Genomic DNA, 19,872 nt, shown 5'->3' with positions numbered 1-19,872 from the left:
TGTATTTTGATTGAATCCAGGCAAAATCCCCCTTTCAAAGATTTTGTGTCTATCTATCCATCTCTTTGCAACCCCAACTTTATATCTGACAACATGAAGTTGGTCAATGTTATTCCGATCTTATTAAACCAGCCCAATATTAAGTGTGGTAGGGCATTTCCTACCGTGTAAGACTATATATCGCAAAAGCCATGCAACATAGGGATAAGTTGGCAAAGTAATTAAAAAAGAATACACTTGGTTCTGATAAACAAATTGAGAATGCTCAGAAATCAATATGTTGAGCTGATTAGAGTCATCTATGGCATAATGTCCTATTAAGCTGCCTGTTTATTGGTCTTTTAATTGACGGAGTTATACATGTGGATTAATGTTTATGTTACAGACTCCCATTTTCTGGGTTCTGCTCTAGAGAGTATTAACCAAGGGTGCACACGGGTGGTAGGGCCAGACCTCCTGCCCTTGCTGTTTCCTGGTAGAACTAAGCAAGCTCAAAATCTGGTCCTCCGGCTTGAAGCTAGCTTCTCTCTCCTCTCCCAAATGTCAACTCTGCTGCTGCCAGCACAAGCCATTCTTATTCATATGCTCTTCCAGCTTTACAGTTGAAAAAAAAAGGTACTTTCATACTCACAACCCTAATATTCTCCGTCACCACACACCAAAAAATAGCGTTTTTTTCTTTTCCTTTCTCATTCAGGGAAGTCTTTTTAAGGCATCCTAACATTCATCTCTGAATTTTAACCCAAATTCTTTCTTCTCAAATCATTTGCAGATGTGGAGGCTGAGCCCGGCGTTTGCCATTTGAAAAGCAATGGCTTACCAGGAATGCGGGGTCCAGAGGACACGAGGCTACCTCCTATTTGCCCACCCTGGATCATTTAACTTGGCTCTTTCCAATAGTGAAAGTTGCATCCATACACTAATGCTTGAAAGTGTTAATGATAACATTCTTGACAATGGATAATAAGTCAGCTTACAATCATGTCCAAAGATTTGCACGCGGTCTATGTATGTGATGACACACAGTGAAGAAATTATCTCAACAACTTCATTAGGTTTTCCAAATCCACACAGAAAACACTAAGTTTCAGACAGGCGCTGGCTCATGCCTGTAATCCCAACACTTTGGGAGACCGAGGCGGGTGGATCACCTGAGGTCAGGAGTTTGAGACCAGCCTGACCAAAATGGAGAAACCCTGTCTCTACTAAAAATACAAAAATTAGCCAGGCATGGTGGCACTGCCTGTAATCCCAGTTACTGGGGAGGCTGAGGCAGGAGAATAGCTTGAACCCAGGAGGCAGAGGTTGCAGTGACCTGAGATCGGGCCATTGCACTCCAGCCTGGGTGACAGAGTAAGACTCTGAAAAAAAAAAAAAAAAAAAAAGAAAACACTGTTTCCACAGTGAATCCCCAAGTTCCTCTAAAACGAATGAATTTATCAAGGTCTTTGGCTAAAAAATCCCGGTGATATCTTATCTTCCCAAACAAAGGTCCGTATGCTGAGGTGCCAGGCCCATGTGGCAACTGTCTCAGCATGTGCCAGTAGTCTTGTATGAGTCCAGCACCTTCCACTCAATCATACTCTTCCTTTATAGGGTCACTTATTCTTTCTTTTTCCTTTTTTTTTTTATTTTTCTTTTTATTTTTTTTGAGATGGAGTTTCACTCTTGTTGCCCAGGCTGGCATGCAGTGGTGCGATCTCAGCTCACTGCAACCTCCGCCTCCCGGGTTCAAGTGATTCTCCTGCCTCAGCCTCCCGAATAGCTGGGATTACAGGCACCTGCCACCACGCCTGGCTAATTTTGTATTTTTAGTAGAGACGGGGCTTCTCCATGTTGGTCAGACTGCTCTCAAACTCTGGACCTCAGGCGATCTGCCCGCCTCAGCCTTCCGAAGTGCTAGGATTACAGGTATGAGCCACCGCGCCCAGTCTCCGATTATTTCTTAATATACCAAGTCCTTCACTCTTCTCTCCAAGTTTTACCTGTTTCTGATCCTTTCACTTTGAACCTTTTCCTAATCTTCTCTGAATACGTAGAGGAGATTGACTAAATATCACTTAATTGAATTGGTGGCTCTCTATCAAAATGTGTCCAGCTCCTAACTTGAGAGATCCCATCTGAGCCTGCTGACCCTACTTCTAGAAATGCCACAGACGTTTCTATTCTAATTCCCTGCAGTACAAGATGCCAGGAGGCAACATCCTTATTTAGGATTAAAATAATTTGTAACTCGTTGGGAGGGCACCCTGTGCCTTCTTAGTACATTTTAATTAATATAACTTCTGCTCCCTGCTGACAAAGATGTTTCCGATGGTGTTTGGGTCCAACATATTCACCGCCTTCATTGATGTGAGTCACTTGAATCCTTGCAGGAATCCACAAACTTCCTGGTTTCATGGAAAATAGAGAATTGCGTGTTAGAAGTGCCAGGTAGGCATACAGAGCTGAGAATGTTCTTCTTCATCTATCTGGCCCCTTTTATATAAGCTCTTAATATGGTGACCATGAGAACCTTCCAATTTGCAGATAAAATAGAAAATCACACATTTTCAGGTTCCAGTGCAAAGCAGAAAAAGGCCCTGAATGTTTATAGAAATGTGAGATCATTATGTTTAGCTTCCCCTTTTAGATAGTTGTTTTTCTAGAGTGAGTAAGTCACCATGGAGAAAAGACTGTCTATTGATCCTCTGGACATCTGGAGTAAACAGAGAACCTTAGTCCTCTTAAATTTCTCAAGTACTGTTCTACCTGCTTCCCCAATCTCACTGTCCACACTTTCAAATCTGGAAAAGAATGGAAAATCTTAGCTTCTTCATTGCATCATTATTGGGTGTATTAGTATACTATAAATATCATTCTTTGAATCACAAGTATAGTAGCAGCTCTATATTAACATTCGTGAAAATAATGTAAAATGTATTCATTAAAATAGTGTCAGCACAACAACTTACACTGGGTACCATGATCCAGCTGCTACTTCAGTTACCATGTGCTTCAGTTCAGTACTTCAGCTCATTTTCATCATTTTCTCACTCATTTCTATACTGTTATTTTTTAAGGAAAATGACACTATTTGACTCACTAAAGTTCTAAGATTTGCATTTGACTCCTAAATGGAAGTCCTCAAACTCCAATGCTGATGTACATAGATAAACTCTCTACCTCTAGAAATGAAACCTATCAAAATGTAGAAGATTCTCCAGATGTTTTTAATAAGGAAAAGAATGTAGAAGACTTTGAAGGAACAGAAACCGAGGTTAATAGAAAACAAAGTAGGGTAAGGACAGACAAAGAATAAATCACTGCACCAAATCAGTAAGATACATGGGCAGAAGTGGAATGTCCTGGTTAAATGAAACAGAGATCAGAGATCATTAGGAATGAATGACTCACAAAGTTACTGAACCATCGAGTAGAAAGGAGTTGTAGAAAAGCACTAATCCAACCAGAAATCTGAGATCCTGAAAGGTTAAGTGATGTATCCAAGCTCACATAGGCTCATTAATGGCAAATCAAGCCTCGAAAGCCTCTCTTTGTGCCTTAGTTTCTTGATCTGTAGTGCAGGGATGACAATAATAGTACCTAACCCATACAGTTGTTGTGAAGATTACATGAGTTAATGGGAGTAAAGCACTTAGACTAGGGTCTGACAGATTGTAAACACTGTGTGTTAGCTATCATCATCATCATCATCAGGATATTTCAACCTGTGTGATTTAACTTCTCTAGGATCCTACTAACTGAATCTTGCAAATCTCAGCATCAATTTAAAGTCCTACTTTTGTCCTAGCTACTCAGAAGGCTGAGGCAGGAGGATGGCTTGAGCCCAGGAGTTCGAGGCTGCAGTGAGCTATGATGGCACCACTGCACTCCAGCCTGAGCGACAGAGTGAGACCTTGTTTCTAAAAAATATTAAAACTAAATAAAGTCCTACTTTTATCTTGGGCTATAGGATCATCTTATTTGCATAGTTTTATTCTGACCATCAAATTTTGCATTATGAACAAAGAAGTTGGAATCTGAGTCTGGAAGTAAGCAATGGCCCCACCACTCGATTTCCTGTGTACTCTCTGGCACAGGACGCAGACATCCAGCCGACGGAGGGGACTCAGAACTGTCCAAGTTAATGGAAGGAAGCAAAGTCACAATGAATCTAGACTGAGAAACAACACAACAACAGTATTATCTGGCTTTAGAAAGAAAGCACACTCTCCATCAGTAGCACCCTCGCGGGTGCCCAGGAAGATACTTCTCAGTTACCTCTTCTGTGCCGGTCACGGGTATGTGGGTTCTTGCTGAGCAATAGAAAGAACGAGGCCACAGGGATTCCAGGAAAAATAAAACAAAAAACAAAAAAACTCCACTCAAAATGGAATGAGTTAACCATGTTGAGAAATTAGGAGGAGAAGACAGAAAAGAAATTATAGTAGCATATCATAAAAATAATGTCTCATAATTGCAAAGCACTTTATACTTCCCAGTTGTTTACTATGAGCTTCTGATTCTAGGCTTCAGTATTTGCTAGCACACTAGAATCCCCTGGGTGGGCAGCCTCTGAAAAGTAGAATGCCAGACCAATTGACTCACAATCTCTTAGGGATGAAGACCACGTATCTGTGTTTGTCAGAAGCTCGCCAGGCTATTCTGATGCACCCAGAGGGTTAAGAAACCACTTTTCTAAGCTTGGTCTCTTCATGAGAGCAGCCTCCAAACAGATAAATTTCAATGCACTTAAATTAATTATTTAGAACTTCAGAAGTTTGAACTCCAAACATGAAATGTTGCTTCATTGAAAAGGTTGAATTAAATTGGATTAACTTTTCCTTTCTAGGCTCCTGTTCTCAGATTTTTCTTGCTTCATCTGAATCCATTCAAGTTGGACTGAATCTCAAAAGCTAGAGATAGAACATTAGCTCCTGAGTTAGCTCCATATGCTCCTGTAGGAGTCTGCATCTCTGTTAACCTTGTTACAACTCAAGATCCATTACAACAAGTCTTATGATACGTGATGATACAGACGGAAACGTGTTAGAGAGGTGGGCCACTGCACTGGTATTCAGCGCTATCACAAACATACAGTGATACCTAAACCTCATTCATAGCATCAAAGTAGGAATCCATAGTGTGTTGGACATATACTAGATAACTTTCCAAGCAAATGTTTCAAATCATAATTAAAGCAGTTCATAGCACTTTTGTGCATGTAAGAAGAGTTTCCTAACCTGTGGACTGTGGCACACTTATGTGACCCAGATGGCTCATGGGGGTGCCAAGATAGTGACCCCTTCATCCTGGGGACAGCCGGAGCTTCTGGGCTACTTGCCTTCAGACACTAGCAGTCTCACTCCATTGGCCAAGTATTACTGTTTTCTGTATGTGCCATGACGTGAAGAATGTTGGACCCCTGAATAGCACAAGCCAACCACTGGAGCAGCACCCTCTAGACATCCAGATTCCTAGACCAGAAACATGTTTAGAAGAAGGAGGAGGAGAAAGAGGAAGAGGAGGAGGAAGCAGCAGCAGTAACAACGTGGGGTTCACACGTTTTTATTTTGGATATTAATACAAAGAAACTATCACCTATGACTATAATTCCATAAAAGAAAGAGGATTGTTGTGCTATTTCAAAAATGCTTTCATTTTAAAGTACTTTACATCATGCAAGAGACTGCAGCCCAAAGATATGGTACCGATAAAATATTTCACCAAGAGGAATTGAATCTTTTCCTCCTGAATTTTATTTTGAAAACTTTTAATCCTATTGAGAAGCTAAAATAATCACGATGAATATCAATAGCCCCCTTAGCTATATTCACACATTGTTTACATTTTCGCTTTATCTCCATCTAACTTTTCTTCCTAAAGAACAATTTGAAAGTTACAGAAGTCATGTCACTTCACCCCTAAATATTTTCTCATGCATCTCTAAAGAAAAAAATATTCTCCAAAACAATCACAATACTGTTGTCTCACCTAAGACAATTAGCATAAATTATAATAATCTAATAGGCAGTTTATATGTGAATTTCCCCAGTTGTTTAGAAGTGTCCTTTATAGATCTTTTTCCTTCCAAGATTTAATCCAGTTCCATTTATTACACTTGGTTGTTATGTCGCTGTAAATCCTTCAATCTGGAATCCTCCCTGCACATTTAAAAAAAAAAAAAAAGGTTTTCATGACCTCGACTCTTTGAAGAAAGAGAAGTTGTCTTGTAGAATGTTCTACATTCTAAATTTGCCCATGTGCTCATTCAGGTCGAAGGAGCATTTTTAAAAACTCTACAATAAAGAGGAAGGATATAATCTCAGACTAAGCGAACCCGTCTATTTTAATGGAGAAGTTCTCTCCATAGTCTGTCTCCTAACTCCCTGTGAAGCCTCAATAACTTAGTCGCAGAATGGCACTTTCCACAGGCCAGCATTAGGCAACCTTCATCCTACAGAATAAAAATGATTCCACCACAGTCCATCTACCAGTTCAGTGATATCCCTAGAATAAGCCCCCAGGTCTTCAGAGGACCGGCCTGAGTTCTGCCAAAGTTTACTTAGACAGGCACTTGGGCAGTTGCTCCTTCCAATCAATCTAGTAGACTAAGATGATTTTATCTTACCCTAGATGTTGTCTGTGCGCAAAGGAAAATGTTCTGGGGCTCAGGGTCTACTGAACAGTTAATTAAAGACACTAGAATTCTGCATCTGCTGACTTGCCCACGAGCCCCATGCTTTAAAGAGGTGCAAGGCACCCGGGGTACTGCTGAGGACTGGAGCAAGGCTTGCAGATGCCACAGGGTGGAGAGGCTCACGGTGCCCTATCGCCCCCTCGCCTGCTTCCTGAACTTGCTCGGTGCCAGGAATGTCCGAATTATCATATGCCCCATTTATTGCAGACCTCTCCAGTCCTGGACGATAAAACAGAAACATTCAAGCATGAGTGGAGCTGTATCATGGCACCCTGACTTTCAGCAAGGGACTTCTTTAGTGATGCTGATGAGGAGGACAGCGCATGCACACAGAATTCAGGACACAGGACGACTCCAGGCAGGGCCATTGATTCCTCCTGGGACCCATCCACCAGTGTTTGTGGGGTGCCAGTTGTCTTCCTCTCAGAGGCAAGACTGCGGCCCCCCCAGGTGCTGTTCTCCACGCCATCTGGAGCTTTCCCTGCATCCTGTAAGGTGCATTCCATGGCCAGGGAAGAGAGAAGACTTGCAGCTGCTTCTGTTTCCATAGCTGGTCACTCCATTCCTGAAGTTGCACCTCCACCTTGCTGATGAGGACGGAATACGATGAATACGTCAAGGACAGAGCTCACCTAAGTATCATAATTCCGGTGCCAATTTCTTTCAAAGGGGCACTCATCTGCTTCTAAAAAAAGACTTGCCGTGGATTACAACAGACATTGCCCACCTCAGGCCCTCCACTTCCAGCCAGCTGCTCCTGCGTCTGCTTTGTGCCATCCCTGAACTCAGCGCTTCTCCGAGGCCTTGTTGGCTGCGTCTCAGACTAGGTTCAGCCAGAGACGGCAGAGACTGCGCTTGGTGGCCCCATCGCCCTCCCCTCGGCCGGCACAGTGTCCTTTCATTGCTTTCGTCAGCGTGTCCTCGTCATCCACCATGTCTCAACAGGCTGGAGACCGAGCACTGGGTATTTACAGGTGAATAAGACAGGGCTTCTGGTTGAGGGGTTTTAATCAGGCTGGGGAGACATAAGATAATGACCATAGAAGCTCGTGAGAATTTTAACAGAGGGAGGAATTCAAGCTGCCTGGGGGAGGTGGGGAAGATTGCTGCTCAAGCCATGTGGTGGGGAAGCACCAGGCCTTCCCATTTCAGGCAAACTAGACAGTGTGTGCTTTTTATTTCAGGGAATTGTAAGCTTGATGAGCTTGATATGGTGATTGATGAGATATGCAGAGTATCAGAGGGAAGAATCATCAACTTAGAGGTTTCTAGCTGGCAAACATTAGTGCCATTCACTAATAAAGGAAATTCTTAGCAATTGGATTTGGGGCAGGACAGATGAGCCATTTATTCATTTATCTTTCAAAAATATTTCGTTTTTTGTTTGTTTGTTTGAGACAGAGTTTCACTCTTGTCGTCCAGGCTGGAGTGCAGTGGCGCCATCTCAGCTCAATGCAACTTCCACCTCCCAGGTTCAAGCGATTCTCCTGCCTCAACCTCCGGAGTAGCTGGGATTACAGGGGCCCGCCACCATGCCCAGCTAATTTTTTTGTATCAAAAATATTTCTTTAGCACCTGCTGAACTGTGCTAGTTTGGGACATATTGGTTTTGAGTACCATCAGAGTACCGAGGTGAAATGTTAGTTTAACTCATCTTAAACATGAATCAAGCTCAAAAGGGCAATAGGGACGGAGATATCCATTAAGAAGTCATCAAGGCCAGACACGGCGGCTCACGTATGGAATCCCAGCACTTTGGGAGGCCGAGGAGGGCGAGTCACTTGAGCTCAGGAGTTAGAGACCAGCCTGGGCAACATGGTGAAACTCCATCTCTGCTAAAAATACAAAAATTAGCCAGGCGTGGTGGTGCATGCCTGTGGTCCCAGCTACTCAGGTGGCTGAGGCGGGAGGATTGCTTGAGCCTGGGAGGTCAAGACTGAAGTAAGCGAAGATTTTGCCACCGCACTCCAGCCTGGGCGGGAAAACAAAACAAAACAAAAAAAGTAATCAGTGTTTTTCCCAGGAACAAATTCTGCTTCTTCGAACCCTATTTTCTGTTTTGACCATATCCTTTCTGTGGACACATGGTCTCTCTAGCTGGGCTACTGAATATTTATTTAGCATAGTTAGTCACAGAGTGGCCCCTGTTCTGTGGGTCTGGGAGAAAGCCTGCATCTTCCTACGATTCAACTTGATGTTCTGAGTTTTGGAGGTATCCCTTCCATCCCAGCCTATACTCTCCAAATTCATTCTGGAATTTTTTTTAAAGAAGCATCTGAGTACAAGACTGAGACTTAAATAACTATATAATGCTTAGGAATCTCCTATATAAAAAGATCAAACTGTACAGAGGAGTTTATTTTCTTATCACCTGCTATAAGATTATTCATTGCTGTTTTATGGCCGGTATGTTTATCTGGTTTGATAATGGCTATTTTGGCAAAATAAAATAAAATAAATAAAATGTGGTTGTCATCTAGATCTTAGGCAAAACATATGAATTATTTCAATGATGAGACAAGATACCACCAGGCATCATGAGACAGCCTATCCGGATTGCGGGGAAGGCTCTTGCAGGGAGAAGGGGAGGCAAAAGAAATCTCCTGACTACTGAAACTTGCAAATCACAAATTATAAAACAATAAAATCATATCAAATGCCACCACCTTCTTTATGGAACCCATTAAACCATGGTCAAAACAAGGGGCTACATTTCTTGAAGATAAACAAGGCAGCCTGTGTTGTCATCACTTAATTGAACTCAAATCCTTCATTGGTATCCCAAGATGATCAGATACCTTGTAATGGAAATTCCCCAGTTATTAACAGTACAGGAGCACTATTGTGAGCCTAAGTTCTCAACTTGGGTAACAAACAGCATTGCAATCCTCCCTGACTCATCCCTCGGGCTGTTTCACTAGGGCCCAGTAAACTGAGACTTTGGCTCTTGGCCGCTAGCATTCCTCTGGGATTCTGTGTGTCCCACAAGACAAGAAGTCATTTGTAAGATCCAACATGCCTAGCTCAGAAATAAGCACGGGTGTTCACAAACCCTTCAAAAGGTAAACACTGTATTAGGGACCCAATATCTAATAGGTGAATTTAGGGGAAGGAAAGTGTGTTTGTTTCCTAGGTCTGCCACAATAAATGTGCCACTAACTGAGTGGTTTAAAACAAAAGATATTTGGCTGGGCGCCATGGCTCACGCCTGTAATCCCAGCACTTTGGGAGGCCAAGGCAGGTGGATCGTGAGGTCAGGAGTTCAAGAGCAGCCTAGCCAACATAGTGAAACCCCGTCTCTACTAAAAATACAAAAATTAGCTGTGCATGGTTGCACGTGCCTGTAATCCCAGCTACTCGGGAGGCTGAGGCAGGAGAATCGCTTGAACCCTGGAGGTGGAGGTTGCAGTGAGCTGAGATCAGCCGTTGCACTCCAGCCTGGGCAACAGAATGAGACTCCATCTCAAAAACAAAACAAAACAAAAACAAAAACAAAAACAAAAAAAAAACAAAAAACCTCACACACCAGATATTTAACCTCTCACAATTCTGGAAGATTAAAGTCCTAATTCATAACCTGCAGGTGTCTGCTGGGCCACGCTTGTTCCAAAGGCTCCAGGGGAGGAGACTTCCTTGCCATCCTAGCTTCTGGTGATTGCCCGCAATCTTTGGCATTCCTTGGTTTGTGGCCTTGTGTGTCTGTGTCCCTATGTCCAAATTGCCTTCTTCTTATAAGAACACCAGTCATTGGATTAGTGCCTACCTTAATCCAAGACAACCTCATTTTAACTTTATTTAACTTTCAAAGATCCTGTTTTAAAATAAGGTCACATTCACAGGTATCAGGGGTTAGGACTTAAATCTTTTTGGGGGGACACATTTCAACCCACAATAGAAGGGAACTGCAGGTTTTTAGCCTTTGTTCTTTGTCACAAAAGACATAAAAAATTTTATTTTTTACAAATCCTGGAGGCTGCAAATTTTAAGAAAAAAACAGTTTCAAAGTTATGTGAAGCAGAGAGGTATTTTACCATAATTTTAAAATGCATTCTAAATAATTTTAAAAATCCACAAATTTGAAAATGTTATTAGCATTATTAAATTTTATTTTGAACTTTTAACATGTGAGTAAAACATGCTAATAGGACTGATGAAGACGTACAGAGACAGAACCCCGATAGGGTGGCAGTTGTGGGGATCACTGTGCAGACATGCAAGCGGAAGTAAAAAGAATTCTTTGAGCCCCCAAAGATTAGGAATTGGCAGTAATGCTTTTAGCACCTCCATATCCTATCAGTCATTTTAAACATCTAAGATTCCCATTGCAGAAACATGGCACATAGAGTCAGGAAACAAAGGTTATATAGATATTTGCAACCTGTAACTGTCCTAGGATCGATCACAAGAAATTCAGTAGGTGCCTCACATAACTAAGCACTGATCATTGATACTAAGACCAGATATGTGATCTAAATTAGCAAAGACACACTCCATGCTGCTTTGAAAATAATCACCATAGATGTTATGCTTTTTCTTGATCATCTCTTTCAGCAACACCAAATTGCTCTATCACCCTTCAATTCAGATCTCCACAGTAACAAGTTTTTAAAGCAATTTGCAGCATTTCACTTTCTGTGGGCCAAACCCTGCCTGGACAGTCCCTTTTATAATCATGACTTTCTCATGGAGCTAAACAGGTGAGGATCAGCCCCAGGATACTAGAATCTGGAACAAATGGATTTATAGCCACTCTAAAATTGCAGGTAGGCTCTGTCACTCCCACTAATATCTACAAGTCATTGCAAATGGAAAGGACAGCAGGACTGGCCAAATCTATCTTTGGCTTTCTAAAGTCAGTCTCACTGTGCACTGCTCTCTACCAGAGTAAGACTCAAGAATAAATGATTTTAGTGAATGAGTTTTTAAAAATAAATTAATGAATTAACAATTTAAAAAGAGTAAGTGAGCAGCCATTTTTTTCTGCCATTCATCTGAGCTCCTGTGAAATAGTTCCAAGCAAGATTCTGCCCAGTTAAGAGGAGGAAGAGACCTCAGAGGTTGTCTGGACAGGCCAGGTGTGGTGGTTGACACCGGTAATCCCAGCACTTTGGAAGGCCGAGGTGGGAGGATCACCTGAGGTCAGGAGTTCGAGACCAGCCTGGCCAACATAGTGAAACCCTGTCTCTACAAAAATATAAAAATTAGCTGGGCATGACGGCAGGTGCCTGCAATCCTGGCTCCTGGGGAGGCTGAGGTGGGAGAATTGTTCGAACCCGGGAGGTGGAGCTTGCAGTGATCTGAGATCCAGCCATTGCACGCCAGCCTGGGCGACAGAGCGAGACTCCGTCTCAAAAACAAAAACAAGAACAAAAACAAAACAAAACAAAACAAAAGAAACAGAAAAGACATTATCTGGACAGGGGCAGAAAATACTTAAGACTTGTGAACTAAGCCTCCCAAGTCAGTGCCCATCACATTGATTGGCCAAGCTGCACTAGGAGACTCTCCACAGGAGAGCATGTAGAGCACATGCTAAGGTTCTCTATCCTAGAGTAGACCCCTGCCAGCTGGAACTAGCATTTAAGTTTCTCAGCAATTAACAGTCACCCTTGCTTTCTTTCCAGGACGCTCTTTCCAAATGCCCTGACTGTGCTCTGCACAGATCACTGAGTCTGCTTTTTCCTCTGGGTGACAGATTCCTCCAGGCAGGGACCTTCTCATAGTAACCCCTTAATTCAGTATCTGATGCATACTAAATGCTCAGTAAATTTTTGCTCAATGAAAAAAGAAAAACACTATTTCCAGAAAAGACAGTATATGAGGCCTGCCTTTCCAATTTGAGTATAAATTCATTGTATTAGAGTTTAATCAAAGTAGTTAGTTCACAGATTACTAAGACAGTGAGATGTGATTTGTGTGCTTATGTTTTCATAGGGACAGCAGGAGGGGTGGAGTTAAAGTTTAGGGATCTATTTTGGAAAATTACAGGTTTGATGGCAAACTCTTAATTGCCAGCAGAATAGGACGAGGGGTTGGAGTTGGGGTGCATGAGCACTAGGGGGCACTGGGGCCCTGGAAGCAAGCATTTCTCCACTTTCATAAATGACTTAGGCTGTCTCTACTGTTGCTCTTCTCAGCAGGTCGGGCCCGTTTAAGGGTAGCCTAAGGTATACCTCTCATGTGCTAATTACCAACAACAATGGCAATCTCTTTTTAGAGGTGAAGCTAGTAGAAGTTCCTAAGTGGAGAAAGCATTCCTGCTACCATGCAGCGGAGGCGCGGAAGGCAGACTCGTCACCTGTCTGGCTTGCTTCCCTCTCGTCATCCTGTCCCTGCAGCAGGCAGCAGCTGTGTTCCAGTTTTGCCCTCATGGCCTCTGAGATACTTAACTCCAACCTATCTGGTTCTTTTTTCTCCCCACACTCTCCACCATCATAGCAGAGACTCAACGTGTGATCCAAGTTTAGTGCCTTTTTTCCATGCCAAGCAAAGTGAAGTCATTTGGCCTTGGATGAGGTGTCTGGTACACAGCTAGAGGTAGCATGGAGCAAATGAGGTTTAAGATTCAGGGACCCTCACTTGAGGATTCTTCTGAGGCTCTGGGAGGGTGCTCAGCAATGTTGCATTTCTTATCGTGTAAAGTTCTTCATACATGTGTAGACAGACATACATAGACACACGTTCTATAAACTTTGGCCCCCAGGCCAGGATCCATCCCTGGTCTCGCATAAAAGCTCTTCTTGGACTAACACACTGTGAGGCAGCCTGACCTGGCCTAGAAAATTCCATTCTCCAAATCCAATCCCTTAGGCTCTTCCCAGGCCCCACCATCAACAGCCCTCCGTGTCTCCCCATCTGTTTATCAGAGATTACAACTCCTCTCTGATCTTGCTGAGCTTTTCTTGACCGGAATCTGGGGTTGTGCCGATAAGAGCTTCGTGTCTGCCTTGGCTTGCCTCTTCGTTTTTTCTAAGACTTCCTTTGTCTAGTTTTTTGTTTTTTTGCCATGGAGAATCTGCATTTCTCTCCTGTTTTTAAAGGCACATGTCATGATACAAAATACAATTCCATTTGGTAGTAAAAATCACAGAACTACTGAAAGGTTTGTTTTGTTTTGTTTTGTTTTGTTTGAAGCAAGGTTTCATTCTGTCACCCAGGCTGGAGTGCAGTGGTGCAACCCTAGCTCACTGCAGCCTTGACCTTTTGGACTCAAGCAATCCTCCTGCCTCAGCCTCCTGAGTAGCTAGGACTACAGAGGCACACCACCATGCCTGGCTAGATTTGTGCGTGTGTGTATTTTTTTGTAGAGGTAGGATCTCACTATGTTGCCCAGGTTGGTCTCGAGCTCCTGGCCTCAAGCAATCCTCCCACCTTGGCCTCCCAAAGTGCTGGGATTACAGGCGCCAGCCAGGGGGCCAGACCTGAAAGTCTTAATGTAAAACTAGGCAGCAGGATTCAAGGTCAGCCTGGTTGAGACAGATTCCTGAGCATTTGTACCTCCCTTTGAAATGATAATTTGGATTAAACTTCAGATTACTAGTTACCGTCAGTTACTCGATGAGTCCATCTTCATCTGGGCATCTCTCCTTCCACTGGGTGGTATTAGGGAAGCAGCTCTTATGACATCATCTCAGAGAAGGCTTCTCTAAGTTCATCAAAGGAGCAAGCTCTTTCCTACCCCAAGGCATTTGAACTCACTTTTCCCTCAGCCCAAAGTACTCTTATTCCACACTCATGAGTGGGCTGGTTCCTTCTCATCCATCACAACACACTATTAAACATCACTCTGGCTGGGTGCGGTGGCTTACCTCTGTAATGTCAGCATTTTGGGAGGCCGAGGCAGGCAGATCACGAGGTCAGGAGTTCGAGACCAGCCTGGCCAACATGGTGAAACCCCATCTCTACTAAAAATACAAAAATTAGCAGGGCGTGGTGGTGCACACCTGTAATCCCAGTTACTCTGGAGGCTGAGGCAGGAGAATCGCTTGAACCCAGGAGGCGGAGGTTGCAGTGAGCCGAGATCGCACTGCTGCACTCCAGCCTGGGCGACAGAGTGAAACTCTGTCTAAAAATAAATAAATAAATAAATAAACGTCACTCTTTTGAGTGGTCTTCCCTGTCTACGGTAAATTTGCTGTCATTGTCTCAGGCACATTTGTTTCCTTCCCAGACTACATAATTATATAGGTATTTGTTTGTTTACTTCTCTTTTTTTCTGAGTCTTCCTTTATACCGTAAGCTCCATGAAGGCAAGAATTGAGGCCATCTTTTCCTGCATTGTGTCCGCAGCACACACACCACAGTCTCTAGCACAGCATACGGGCTCTCCGTCGATGTCTGCGGAAGGGCTGCTATTGCCATGACAACAGGCCAGATCATTTCACTTGTCCTGGCTTTTTTCATAATCCAGACAACAGAGGCGTAGCACATTTGTCCCAGGCTCGTAACAGCGCTCTCCCTAAATAGTCAGAAACAAGGGAACTTAGCTATTATCAGAGTCTCTTTCCGAGTTCAGGAGTTTTTCTTTGCGAGGTTCCTGGTGTTAGTGTGGCATCTCCAAGGCCTCTGTTTTCTCTCCTACACACACCTTCCCCAACAAGCTGGCCTGCGTACTGACTCAGCAAGGGCAGGCCAGGGCAGATGCACAGCGTTCCGACTGAATGGTCTCACCAAGTTCCACCGAGGGCTCCCTCCACTACCTGAGACAGTGGAGTTCCCAGAGACGCAGGCGTTATTTACATAACTCTCCCCTGCAGAGGAGACAAGCAGCCGAGGTTTGCTTCAACACCAAGGACAGCTCTTCTGAAACGGAGGCAAGGAAACGGACTCGGCCCTGTGCCCCACTCCCTCCTCTGTTAGGGTTCTGGGCCCCTCTTCCTCTGTCATAGCCTCAGAGGTTCAGAGGGCCACTAGAAGGTTATACTGGGTTCAAGGCCAGGTTTCACTCAGCCCTGAGCTCAGGGGCTCTCCCTTGGAATGCTGTATCTCCGACTTATACCTGAGGACACGGAGAATGGAGTATAGGCGGGGCCTAGGGGGATGGGGTGGAGGAGGGGAATCCCAGCTTCTTCCATCAGGAATTTACAGTCTGGTCCAGTCTGGGTTAGTCTTGGCAAAATATTAACTTGGAAGTTATTTGTTCCGGCTGCCTTTTCCTTCTGTTCATTCCTACAGAATGGGGTGTTTACGTGAATGCTGGCTCAGATATCTCAGAAGCTAGAGCTTGCGTCTAAGATTAATGGGAAAAAAGTAGGGTCCTCATATGTCTTGGGAAGCTCGAGGACCCCACTCCTCTATTAGCCATTAAGGGTATGGACATCCTCAGAGACTTGAATCAAAACATGGCTTGGAACCACAGACTGTTCCCCTTGGAACTTTCCCCATGAGGCAGTCATGACATGGTTAGTGGCTCTGAGGCCAGTGCAACTCTGCAGTCCATTTGCCTTGAGAGAGCAATAGAGACAGTTCAGAGGAGGTGAACTCTCACACCCCTGCCTATTGTAGCTGGCAGGAAAAACTTCCAGCAAAGGGTCACACTGGGCAGAATGAACTGTTTCTTAGGAGTTTTGCCACTGCAGACAGAGTGCTGCAACCCAAGGGAGCCGGCAGATCCGTGAGTGCTGGGCAGTGCAGACAACGACTGCAAAAGAGGCCTTGCTCAGATGACAACACTGTGCTGTGTTGTACTTGGATTTTGGCATCCATTGATTGATTGAGAAGATATACAGTGACAAAAAGATGCTATGAATTCAGTAATGCTTTTAAATGGATCTCTATCTCATTAGATACAGAAGCATCTGTACACATTTTCAAAGCATAATGAAGATATTTCTATAAGACATTCCACATATAAATCTTGGTGGATATGTAGATGCCTAAATTCTTTGCAATGCCCCTGCACTGTCCAGGCATCTACAGCCCTCATATTCTAACCATTGGTCCAACATACTATGTCAAAGGGCCTAGCCCTTCAGGTATGATGCAGCCAGCCATCAATATGTTTTATTCAATATGGTGACAAACCCAGGCAGTCGCCATCCCCTCAGGAACCAGAGGCCAGGCAGAGGCTGAGACTGCTGACCCAGTGTTGGGGGCCGGGGCACAGGCCATGGATCAGCTCCAGGGAGGAAGGCTAGCGAGAGCCATGTACCATGCAAGAAATCCACCCGGGAGGCTGGGGCTCAGGTCAGGACTCTGCTTAATAGAGGCTATTAGAGGTAGGGGTGCTAGAACAAGGCAGGCAGCCATCGACGGATGCGGCATCACAGGGCACAGTGGGATGCAGAAATTCAAGGGGCATACAGGAGATCAGGGCTTACCCTTGGAGCTGGTTGGCAGCAAAGGACATTGGCAGGCATAGAAAGTTAGCAGACGTGGCACAGCGTGGCATTCTGAATCTGCAGGGGTATTTGATTGAATTCTCAGAGCTACTGGATGGGGAATCGGGCTGAGATTGCAGACATCTTTCTATCATCAGGATTGATTCTAGGACCTGGGGCCAGACGGAGCCAGCCAGCGAGGGTGTCAGAACAGTCAGCAAGGGGGACTGAAGACCGCGGTGTCGGAGGCCATCAGGCGCTGCTGGCAAGCCTGAGAAAATGGCAGAACACCTCAGCCTCATAAGACAGGATCACTCAGACTCAGAACGTATCAGCACATGCTCCCAAAGCTTCTGAGAACTCAAGTTATTCAGGGAAAAAAAATAGAGCTATGGAATAATTTCTGAGTTTCCCCTCTTTTTGCACTCTACATACATCATTGCATTCTGTGGGGGAAAACATTAATACTTGGGACCTCACTTCCAAAAAAAGAAAATGAGAGTGAAACAGCTTTATGGGCAGAATCTTTGTGGGCTCTCTTGATTCAAATCCTTATTGTAATTCAGGAGCCAGAAGCTTTGCCACGCCGCCCCCACAACTCAGACTGAAGCTGCCTCTCCAGACTGGAAGAAACAGCTCCTAGAAACAGCCCTCTCCCCAAGCCCTACAGAAACAGTTCCACATCCTTTGTCTATGCATCATAAACAGGATGATTAATGTAGATGATGGTGGTGCTTAAAAAAGGATCACTGAGACCCGGGGATGTTATCTAACAGCAAGTTTCTCAAAAACGCTTTTCACAAACCTCAAAGCACTCCCCGCATCAAACATACCCAATGGAGCAGCCATAGAAGGCCAGGAAAATACATTGAGATGAGTAGCGTTCAGAATAGTAAAAAGTTCTAGGGATGACCTAAAGTCAAGACAATGCGCCGTGGTGGGGAGGGAATTCTGCCCTGAGACTGGCATTCATGGACGTCATAAATAAAAACTTTAATAAGAAGGAAAAAGCACAGCCCAGGAGAAGGGCAAGCACATAGCTGGTCGGGAGTCTCATGGTTGCTCTGATAGGTGGCACACACTGCCAGTCCCATCTGAAAAGGATGACTTTTTGGCAAGAGAGGATTATAATTAATTCAAGAGGGAATTTTCTTAGCCGGGCATGGTGGCATGCACCTGTAGTTCCAGCTACTCCAGAGGCTGAGGCAGGAAGATCGCTTGAGCCCAGGAGTTCAAGGCTGCAGTGAGCTAGGATTGCACCACTGCACTCCAGCCTGGGTGACAGAGTGAGACCCTGTCTCTAACAAAACAAAACAAAGCGAAACAAAAACAAAACAGAAAGGATTTTCAGGTGAAGCTCATAAACTTCCTTCTCTTTCATGCTAGCTCAAAAATCCCGTTGAGGCAGTAAGGATTCCTACTCAGGCTAGAGTTCCCACACAGCTCATGCCCTAAGATACACACCTGCTTCCACCCTGACCCTGGCACAGGTACGTCTTCTACAGATCAGATGGGGTGCCCTCCTTATTTTCTTTCCTGCTGGCCACTCTCATTATAGGATAAAGTTTCCATAGGCAAGAGGAGGCATGGCTGGTCCCCTTCCCACTTCATCCCCTCCCTCTCCAACACAGGTAAAGTTTAAAAGGTATAGTTAGTCCCACATGTCAGCAGGGCTTAACAAATAATAAGAATGGCCCCAAGGGCTGGTCATTTACCATCTGCTGCATATGGCCTCTGTGCCGTGTGCTTCACCTGGGAGATACTGCCTACTGGCTTCTCGTGTGGGGGATACATACGGGCTCCGTGCCGTGTGCTTCACCTGGGAGATACTGCCTGCTGGTTTCTCGTGTGGGGGATACATACGGGCTCTGTGCCGTGTGCTTCACCTGGGCGATACTGCCTGCTGGTTCCTCGTGTGGGGGATACCTTTGGCTGCCCGCCTGACCCATCCACTCCTCTCTTCTTTTCTGTGAAGGGAATCCTGACCAACCTCTCCCCCGTGAAACTCAAGTGACACATGGGAAATGGACTCCAACCCATCTCCAGAGCGAGGTGCTGATGGATCTAAATGAATCATAGTGAGCACGTTCTCCCTGCCAGAGATGAGCTGGGGAATGCAGACACAAGCTTATGGCCTTCCTTACCAACTGTGTTAGCCTAGGGACAGGCACACGAGTATGAACCGAGTTGACCAATCGGCCTGAAGGACAGGACCCCTGATCCATGCTTTCTCTCACTCTCTCCATCTGGATGTAAACAGAGGAGTACATTCCCCCATTGCTGTTGGTAGTCATCTGGGTACCATGGGGGAAGCCATTCTGAGAACACAGCTGACACATGGAGACAGGTTAGGTAAGGAATCATCGAGCAGCAGAGCCAGAGCCCTAATCATCTACACCTGGAGCCTGCCCTGCCTCGGAACTTCTTGATATGCGAGATGATAAATACACAGATTATTTAAGCCAGTTTGAGTCAAATGTTACTTGCAGCCAAAAGCATCCAACTGTTGTATCTGGAGTAAAATCCTTCTCCCTCCATCCCTCTCTCTGTCCCTCCCTCTCTTCATTCCTTTCTTCTATCTCCCTCCCTCCTTCCCTCCCTTCCCAGTCTAGCTCTTCTGCTTTTCCAGCTGTGTGACCTTGGGCAAATCCTTTAACCTCCTGGTTTTCAGTGCCCTCATACTGAATGAAGGAGCTGGACTAGAGTAACCTGTAAGATCCCTCCAAACTCTAACATTTATAATAAAAAGATTATATCATATAATAATACTTCTATGAAAAAGACAAGTATCATTATTAAGTAGGTAAACCACTGAGATTACTTCAAACTAGTTCAAGCTGAAAGCAGAGAGTTGCCAAGGCAGAAAAACGA

General features: G+C 44.5%; 1 long non-coding RNA gene across 1 annotated transcript in view; it reads right to left on the bottom strand.

The window, feature by feature from the left end:
* LINC02774 (long intergenic non-protein coding RNA 2774) overlaps nt 1-19,872 on the bottom strand; it is a 129,916-nt gene that overhangs the window by 87,323 nt on the left and 22,721 nt on the right. The window lies entirely within an intron of this gene.

This window comes from Homo sapiens, chromosome 1, assembly GCF_000001405.40.
Source record: "Homo sapiens chromosome 1, GRCh38.p14 Primary Assembly".
Taxonomy (NCBI): domain Eukaryota; kingdom Metazoa; phylum Chordata; class Mammalia; order Primates; family Hominidae; genus Homo; species Homo sapiens.
This window is presented reverse-complemented; position numbering and strand designations above follow the sequence as displayed.